General features: G+C 40.6%; 1 protein-coding gene across 6 annotated transcripts in view, besides 1 other annotated feature; it reads left to right on the top strand.

The window, feature by feature from the left end:
• The first annotated feature begins 2,560 nt into the window (after positions 1 to 2,560).
• Positions 2,561 to 9,536, top strand: part of SRBD1 (S1 RNA binding domain 1) — a 222,588-nt gene continuing 215,612 nt past the window's right edge. For all 6 annotated transcript variants that reach the window (NM_018079.5, XM_011532946.3, XM_047444860.1 and 3 more), the window contains exons 1-2: positions 2,561 to 2,609; positions 8,387 to 8,466. In NM_018079.5, coding sequence (NP_060549.4) covers positions 8,387 to 8,466 — 80 coding nt within the window. In that variant the 5' untranslated portion in view covers positions 2,561 to 2,609. The remainder of the gene's footprint in view (positions 2,610 to 8,386; positions 8,467 to 9,536) is intronic.
• Positions 2,741 to 2,910: an enhancer, noted in NCBI's record as "active region_15687". NCBI's record gives its function as "activates an Ori minimal core promoter by ATAC-STARR-seq in GM12878 lymphoblastoid cells {active_cell/tissue: GM12878}" and the evidence as "EXISTENCE:reporter gene assay evidence [ECO:0000049][PMID:35858748]".

Genomic DNA, 9,536 nt, shown 5'->3' with positions numbered 1-9,536 from the left:
ATGAAACTTAGTTTGAGGCCAATAGAGAGAATAGCTTTGTTATGTTTCAGGTGGTTAGACAGTACTTTATTTAGAGTATTTAGAGATTCGACAGTTCTGGAGCACCTTAAACATTGAGAGTCTCACTGGCCACCATAGTGGAGCGAGAAAAGGTCTTTGCTTTGAGTTTGTGGTACAGCTGGCCATCTGTATCTGCATTCATGGATATGGAACCTGCAGATGTGGTGGGCCAACTTTTTCTATCACTGATTGGTTGAGTATCTGTAAATTTTGCTATCTGTGGGGGGTCCTCAGACCAATCCCCTGTGGATAGACAGCAAATTGTATGTGGATACCTTTCAGAGTACTTGCTTTGGAGTAAAGCAGATTATTGGATTTGAATCTCAGATCTACAATTTATTAGCTGATGTGACCTTAGATGAATTATTTAACTTCTTTATACCTGGTATTCTCATTTATAAAAATGGTTTAATAGCAATATTGCATTGGGGTAATATGTGAATTATATACATAAATACATCTAAAAGCATTAACTTAGTGCCTGGCACAGGTAAGTAATCAATAAAGGTAAGTTATTACTATTATTATTACATTTGCCCTGGGGAGCTAGAACCCATAGGGGAAGGACTTGAAAACAGATAATAACATACAAATGATAATGTATCAGTGAATATCATGGGAAGAGCTATATACTTTGGAGGGATAAAACAACCTCCATCAAATCCAAAACATGTTTTCATTACTCCCAAACCCTATTGCATAGTCTCAGGTGGGTGTCCGGATTATTCCAGGCTTTCAGTCTAAACCCATGAATTTCTTGGAATTCAGCACTTGAGATCCAAAAGTAAACAATAGATTGGGCAATGTCCTAGACAGAAAAGGCAGTTTTTGTGGGAGGGCCTGTTTTATACTTAAGTGATTACAAATTTTCCTTGACAGCGTGTAGTGGGAGTGACTCTCTTATAGAATTCCAAGGGAAATATTCTCTGGACAGTCCTTATTGGCCTTTAGAGTAGGCCACTACCTACATACTTTAATTTTAGAGAACCTGCTTCAGATTTTATTTTCCCCAGATGTCTGATGTCTAAAATCTTAACAGGCTATTTATTTTTGTGATTTTTTTTTTCTTCCCCAGCTGTAAGGCAAAAATCCCTTGTGGGGAGAGGAAAGTCAAGCTTCAATGCTTTGCTGGCCCACTCTTACTCTCCTCCTCACTGTAGTGTGGCTACTACCTGCATACCCAACCCTTGAAGCTAGACTGTTTTGCTTGGGTGTCTGTTTCCTCTGGCTGTATCTGGTTCCTACTCTTGGTCGTAAATTCCTCCAGGGCAGGACTTATGTCAAAAGACTTTGCAGTATATTAGTTCACCTTTACCCTTACTACCTCTGCAATGATTGGAATGTCCCCTTCAAAAATTCAAGTTGAAACTTGTCATTGTAATAGTATGAAGAGGTGGGACCTTTAGGAAATGATTAGGTCATGAATGAGTTAATTCCATTATCACAGGAGGGTTAGTTATTTCGGGAGTCAATTGGGTTCACATGCCTCCCCCACCCCTACCCCAGTATGATGCCCTCCATCATATTTTGACACAACAATAATGCCCTCTGTCTTGGACTTCCCAGCCTTCAGAACTACAAGCCAAACAAATCTCTTTCTTTATAAATCTACCAGTCTATGGTATTTGGTTACAGCAGCAGAAAATTGACCAAGACAACCCCTTACCATAAACCTGAGTAGCAAATGCAACATCAAAAGTAGGTGAATAGTAAGTAGTACATTATTGTTGTTGATTTCTATGATCTGGTTTCTCTTCCCACAATCCTGAACGGTAAGGTGTTCTCTAGTATTTCTTCAGGACCATAAATTGTGAAGGAGACTGTGATTGTAGTAGACAATTCTAGGCCTTCTGGAACCATCACTAAAGGCAACATACGACTGTGCTAATTAAAAGGAAAAAAAAATCCCTAAACAATCTCGGAAACTGATCTTTCCTGGCCAACAATCTCAGATATAGAAGATTAGATTTACTAAATTTAGAAAGAATCCTTTTTTTTTTCCCCCAATCACAAAAATTATCCAGTAAAATCTATGCTCACTTCCGGTAGATCTGCAACAAGGCACGGTCACAGGTCATTTCAATAACTTGCTAGGCTCTTCAGTACTCAGAGTCCCTGGAAATAAGTCATTAGCAGTGGAAAGCTGCTTTTTAGAATTTTCTAAAACAAATCCATGGGGTTTTGATCTGCTAAATTCGAATGTAGACAACAGCAGCCTTATTTCCCTACTTTTATAATCTAATTTATTTGGCTGTATCTGTGGGCTTAAGAGTTTAGTGTTCTTGGTAAATAACACGTAAAAAAAAAGTCATTTTTCATTTCTACGAACCAGCCCCACCCCGGCGCTCCCTCGGGATCCTCGCTCTAGCCCCGCCTCCGTCCAGCCTGGCTCCGCCCCGTTCGGTAGCGCCGCGCCTTGGAGGTCTGTGGCTAACTTGGTCCGGAAGAAGCGAGGCGGACCTTCTGGCGTTTGAAAAACTTCCGGCGGGAACCGGAAGGTGCGGTGGCACTCACGGAATCTCGGGTCTTCTGACGTGCCGGGCGGGAAGGTGAGCTGTGCGTGCGCCTTGGCGGTCGTCTTGCGGGTTCTCAAGAGCCCGGCGTCCGGGCTCCGGGATCTTTGGGGCCATTAAAAAAGTTCTGAGCGCTCATTTGGGCAATAACACCCCTTTTTTAAAAGTGAGAAGTTCATTACATTTTACTGTCAGCGGTCTCTCACAACCGACCACCCGAAAACCCCTCCTAGCTACCTCGTGACACCTCTTTTCAGCCAAATTGCTGCAGCTCTTAGCGCATAACAGACATAGAAAAGCCTGGGCAAGCCTGTTTTTTTTTTTTTTGAGACGGAGTCTCCCTCTGTCGCCCAGGCTGGAGTGTAGTGGAGCGATCTCGGCTCACTGCAAGCTCCGCCTCCCGGATTCACGCCATTCGCCTGCCTCAGCCTCCCGAGTAGCTGGGGCTACAGGCGCCCGTCATCACACCCGGCTAATTTACCTGGATTGTTTTTATACCTAAAATTATCGGAGGTGGGAGAGGAAGCACCCTTTTCACGGTCATGGTGGCCCTGTCTGAATCAACTGCACCTTCTGTAGTGCGCCTGGCATGTAGGAGGCGCTCAGTAACCGGAGGAAAGGAATGAATTGGGAACTCTCTAGGCAACTTTCCTCGAACCCCTCACGTGACATGTCATTAACATATTGTGTGTGGAATGGGAAACGAGACTAGTCTTGGTGTTCCAGGCACTGGGCTATAGTCCTTTGCCACATATCTTTCCCCTTTGAGTAAACTGTTTCACCTCATTGGGTCTCAGATTTCTGAATATAGCGGGACTGTCTGATCTCAGGTTCTTTCAGCTCTAGTATTTTGTTTTTGTGACTTGGGAATCTGCTAACATTCAAGCACTCTGTTGGTCCTTCATGGAAACTTGTTTAGGTGCTTCTTAAGAAATTGTCCTCCTTTGTTTGCCTTCTTGAATTTAAATTTTTTTTTCCAATTTTAATTTAGTATTTGTTAGTGTGCACGTCCTTTTGCCCCTTTGTCCTGATTTGCAGTCGTCCTAGTTTAGTGGCTCTTCCCTTAGTAACATCATAGCAACCTCCAAATTATTGGTTTGGAATATGCTCATGTGCCTACAGTGATTAAGATAGTTTGAAAGGAGGGAAAAATCCCAAGTCACTGAAGAATAGGAATATTCTTATGTGCCATCACTTCTTCAGAAAGAGATGAATGCAATGTGTGGCATTGCCTAAGAGTGGTGGAAAATAAATGTATATTCCTCTGTAGAGACCATATTTGTACATATTATGTTCATTTAATAGTTGTAGGGCATCTGTTAAGTGCTAGGTTCTATGATATGGAAGTGAATAAGGCACATGCATTTCCTTCTTTCATGGTATTTACTCTCTTGACAGCAGTGCAAGCAATAAACAAGTAAAATAAAAATAATTACAGATTGTGTTATAACCTACTGTATACAGGAAGTAAATAGGCTCCTTTTAAAATATAATTGAGAAACCTATTTTAGGCCTGAAATGTTAAGATCTAAGGGATGCAAGGAGCCAGCCAATTGACAAGCAGGGGGAAGAATACTCCAGGCAGAGAGTACCTGAGGTGGGAAAGAATGTTATGACAAGAGCTGAGGAGCTCCAGCAAGTAGTAAAGGTGGTTAGAAAGGTGAGCAGGGCTCAGTCCGACAGGGCCTTTTCAAAGGCCTCATAAAAATGTGGCTTGATTCTAAGTGAAGGATGGGGTGGGAAGTAATTCGTTGTTTCTAAAGCATATTCTAAATGATCTTGAGTTGATAAGTGGAGAATGAGTTGCAGGGGCAAGAGTGGAAGTAGGGAGGGCAGTTAAGAGGCGAGTGTGGTAGTTCAAGTGAGGGAGGTTGAGGACTAAAGGCTCACTGAAGATCGTGGAGATTCAAGACATTTTGGAGGAGGATCTTATGTGACTTACTAATAGTCTGGATATGTGAGATGAAAGAAAAAAAGATTTGTAACATTTTGACTTAGCAAATGGAACTTTGGAGGATGATAATGTGTTCATTTTCTTGATTGTAGTGATATGTATACATATGTCAAAACATCAAATTTGCACACTTTAAACATGTGCAGTGTATTGCATGTCAATTATATGTCAATGAAGCTGTTAAAGAATTTTCTGGCCAGGCGCCATGGCTCACACTTGTAATCCCAGCACTTTGGGAGGCCGAGGCAGGCAGATCACCTGAGGCCAGGAGTTCGAGACCAGCCTGGCCAACGTGACGAACCCCGTCTCTATCAAAAATAGAAAAATTAGCTGGGTGTGGTGGTACACGCCTGTAATCCCAGTTACTTAGGAGGCTAAGGCAGGAGAATTGCTTGAACCTGGGAGGCAGAGTTTGCAGTGAGCTGAGATCACTCCAGGCTGGGTGACAGAGTGAGACCGTCTCAAAAAAAAAAAAAAATTTTTTTTTTCAAGGTTCTGGCTTAGCAAATAGGTGGGTGCCACTTATTGAGATGGGAAGGACTGGAATAGGAACAGGTTTTAGAGCAAGAAATGGTCATCAAGAGTTCCATTGTGGATGTGTTAAGTTAACTGTGAGACATCTAAATAGTTTCAGAGACAGGCAGTTTATTATAGAAATCTGAATGTTAAAGGCACGGTTTGGGATGGAGGGATTAGGATTGTTAATAAGTAGGTGACATCGGTATGTAAAACCGTGGAGATGGATGAGGTTTTGGTTAATCTAACAAGTTTTATGACACAAAGTAAGAGGATATGGGAGTAGTGGAGATGGAGAAACAGGCCTCAAGAATATTGGTGTTTAAACTGGAGAATACATACTCCTGGGGGTGTACCTGTCGTAGGTAGTTTTAAAGACATAATTTCCAAGTCTTCAGCTTTTGTATATATTCTTTCTAAATCTGATCTGCTTGAAATTGGCTTGTGTGTTCATGCAGATTCTGCTTTCCCACCTTTCCTTTTACATTGATATTTTTAACATTTGTGAAAAGAAATATTACAACTCACTCATCTTTCCATGGTATATTGCTTTCGGGGTGCCTTATAAAGAGGCAGTTGGAAATATTTGATTTAGGGGAGCCTTCTTTAAGGATAATGGTTAAGCAAAAACATAAGCCTGCCAAGGGTTTGCCTGTCCCTATTTTAAACACATTTCTGTTAAGGCTGAAGTGTGGAGATAGAATTAGTATATGGTAGTCTGTGTGGGAATGTTCTGAATTCAGGCATATTGTAGAATGTGGTGGTAGGAGTGATTGTAAGGTGATCTGGGTGGGTTGTTTGATGGGAAGCTTAGCACCTTCAAGTTTTTACTCTTGGACTGGTTAGATTCTCCAGAGAAAAGCCTTCCCATTCTCCTCCCTAGAGGGCAGTATTTTAGGAATTTAGTGGCGGAAGACTAGGGTTCTCTGCCTTTAGCATTCAGTCTGTATGGTTCCCATGCCCACAGTCTAGACTGTTTCATTAATACCTTCTCCAGAGAATAAACTTACAGTCTTTTTCCTGGGGCAGTTGCCTAATAGCATGAAGTGAGGTAGGACACTTAGAGATATTCCTTTGTCAGTTTATACACAGCCCTAACCCGTTTCACCTTTAATTCCAAAGGTATCAGCTACTGCTTCATATGAATTTTTTTTTTTTAGAATACTGCAGGGTAAATTGGTTTGGTTCTCATATGCTCCCACTACTGGCTTGGGATTTTAATTTTTATGTGTTGCAATTTGTTAGTCTTTTTGGTTTTGGAATTTTGAGGAGTCATATTTAGGAAAACCTCCATTTCCCCATCTCCCCTCAATAGTGTGAAAAGAATCACCTTTATTTCTTAGTTCTTTTATAGTTTTAATTTGTACATTTTAAACTATTAGTTATTGGGGAATAAATTTTTGTTAATGGTGTGGAGGTAGGAATTAAACTCCTTTTTTTCTTCTAGAGGAATAGCTAGTTGTCTCAATACCATTTATTGAATAATCCATTTTTACCCTGCCCTGATTTTAAATGCCACCCTTGTCATACACTAACTTCCTCCATTCTTATTTTGTTGTGGTAAGATACACATAATATAAAAATCACAATTACCTGTTCTTTCATGATCAATGTCTAAAAAATACTAATTTGAGAAAGGATGATCTTTATAACCTAATATGCCAAAAAGAGAGTGAAGGGAAAGATGGAAGATTATCCTGTCTACTTCCTGCAGACTGCTTTCCTGTTGTTCTTTTGGTTCCCTCTGAGCACTATTTTGCCCAATCATTGTGTACTTACTGGACTGAGTTGAGCTATAGCTGCTGGGAGAACATATTCCCTTTTGTGACAACCCCTTTAGTATTTCCATGAGAGATTATTTCCTCTTCTAAGCGGATGTTAGAACCAGAGGCATTATAACATATGACTGGGTCAGAAACTTGTTTAAAGGGTTCCAAACATGTCAGAGCCTAGTGTAGTCCTTATAGTTTGATGGTTTTATGGTAATAATATCAGGCAGCCACTTATAAAGTCCTTTATTAATTAATTTTAACAGCTAATTAATCTTAACAGCTAAAGTAATTTTATTTACTTTCCCGTATTATGTGATGTCTCTGGTTATTTGTCTTAACTTTTTTTTACAGCTTGGCCTTCGAATTTGGTAAATAGTTTTTAGTCACATAGTGATTAATCATTTTATTTAAGTTTAATGAACTTTTATTATAAGGGAATGATTATCTTGTTTTAAGAATAACCTGGCTGCTTACTCAGTCAATCAGCATCATTTATTTCATTGCCAACTTTGTAGAGAGACCTCTACTTTATTCATTAAGAATATATAGAATAGGCTGGGCACAGTGACTCATGCCTGTAATCCCAGCACTTTGGGAGGCCGAGGTGGGCGGATCACCTGAGGTCGGGAGTTCAAGACCAGCCTGACCAACATGGAGAAATGCTGTCTCTACTAAAAAATACAAAATTAGCCGGGTGTGTTGGCGCATGCCTGTAATCCCAGCTACTAGGGAGGCTGAGGCAGGAGAATCGCTTGAACCCAGGAGGCGGAGGTTGTGGTGAGCCAATATCGTGCCATTGCACTCCAGCTTGGACAGCAAGAGCGAAACTCTGTCTCAAAAAAAAAAAAAAAAAAAGAATAGGAAAAAAATGTTTCTGTCTTTGAGATATAGTTTAATAAAGGACTTTGTAAGGGGCTGCCTGATATTATTACCATAAAATAACACAGAATACTTAAGCACACAATTCTTAAAAAATGAAGCACACAGTTTTCCTACAGGTGTCACCCTGTAGGAGTTTATATTTTTTAAAAGATGGCCCATACTCTTAAGAGTTTTAAACCATTGGAAGGCTGTTAGCTACTCTTTTTTTTTCTTTTTTTTTTTTTTTTGAGACCGAGTCTCACTCTGTTGCCCAGGCTGGAGTGCAATTATGCAATCTCAGCTCTCTGCAACCTCCACCTCCTGGGTTCAAGTGATTCTTCTGCCTCAGCCTCCCCAGTAGCTGGGATTTCAGGTGCCCACGACCACACCTGGCTAATTTTTCTATTTTTAGTAGAGACTGAGTTTCACCATGTTGGCCAGGCTGGTCTCGAACTCCTGACTTCAGGTGATCCGCCCTCCTTGGCCTCCCAAAGTGCTGGGATTACAGGCATGAGCCATGGTGCCCAGCCAGCTACTCTTTTAATTGGCAGCTACATAGCAGAGGAAACTGATGTTTGGGCTTGTGAATAAACATCATTGTTTTTGTTTTTTTCCTATGAAATGTTAGTTTTGAATGACCCATTACTTGTAGCCAAATAAAGTGATAAGAATATTCAAGTGTTGCTGATTTTATTTTCTGTTTCTTCTAGATGTCATCATTGCCAAGAAGAGCGAAAGTACAGGTCCAGGATGTGGTACTGAAAGATGAATTTTCTTCATTCTCTGAGTTGTAAGCATACTGGTTTAATATGTGGGTAGGGGAATGATGAATATTTTAATAAGGAGTAATGCATTCTGTCACTTTCTAACTCCTTAAGTGATGTGGGTAGAAAAAACTTTTTTTATTCATTCATGCAACAAGTATTTGTTGAACTCATGCTGTGTTCCAGGTTCTGTCTAGTGTTGCTAATAAAGTATCGAAAGGAGAGAGAAAGTAACCAACTAAATATGTAACATAATACTTACACTAGAATATAAGCTCCATGAGAGCATAGAGTTTTATATATTGCTTTAGAGCAGGATTTTTCAACCTCTGCACTACTGACATTGTGTGCAAGACAATTCTTTGTTGTGGGGGCTATCTTTTTTCTTGTAGGATTTTTAGCAGCATCCTTGGCCTCTACCCACTGGATGCCAATAGCTTCCTGCTAAGTTATAACAATTAAAAATGTCTCTAGACATTGCTAGATATCCCCAGTTGAGAATCTCTGCTTTAGAGTCATATTAGGTGCTCTGAAGATATTTGTTAAGTAAATGACTGGTAATATTTATAGTAATAAGTACTATAAAGAAAAATAAAACAGGGCAGGGGATAGAGAGCATAGTGAGTGGTTGCAGTCGGGGGGCATTTTGGATAGAGTAGTCAGAAAGTTATTGCGGAAGATGTGGCAAGAGATCTAGATGAGATTTGGGGGTGCAGCTTGCAAAGATCTTGGGGATGGGTGTTCCAAATAGAGAAAGCAGCAAGTGCAAAGACCCTGAGGCAGGAATAAGTTTGGTGTGTTCAGGGAACAGCAAGAAGACCAGTGTGGCCAGTCTAGAGACATGAGGCAGAGAGTAGTAAGAAATGAGATTGTAATGAGTAGGATCTGGATCTAATAGGCTTAGATCCTTCTCCTTAGTCCCTTTAACTTCTCTTCTCACCACCCTCTAAATGTTGGAATCCCTCAAGGCTTAATTCTAAGCCCTCCCCTTCCTCCACCCCCCTTCCCCTCTCCCCTCCCTGTTAGTAGCTGATCTTGTCTTATGGCTCAATATAAAAATCTCAATTTTATACAGTATCTCCAACTTGATCTTCCC

Source organism: Homo sapiens, chromosome 2 (assembly GCF_000001405.40).
Source record: "Homo sapiens chromosome 2, GRCh38.p14 Primary Assembly".
Taxonomy (NCBI): domain Eukaryota; kingdom Metazoa; phylum Chordata; class Mammalia; order Primates; family Hominidae; genus Homo; species Homo sapiens.
This window is presented reverse-complemented; position numbering and strand designations above follow the sequence as displayed.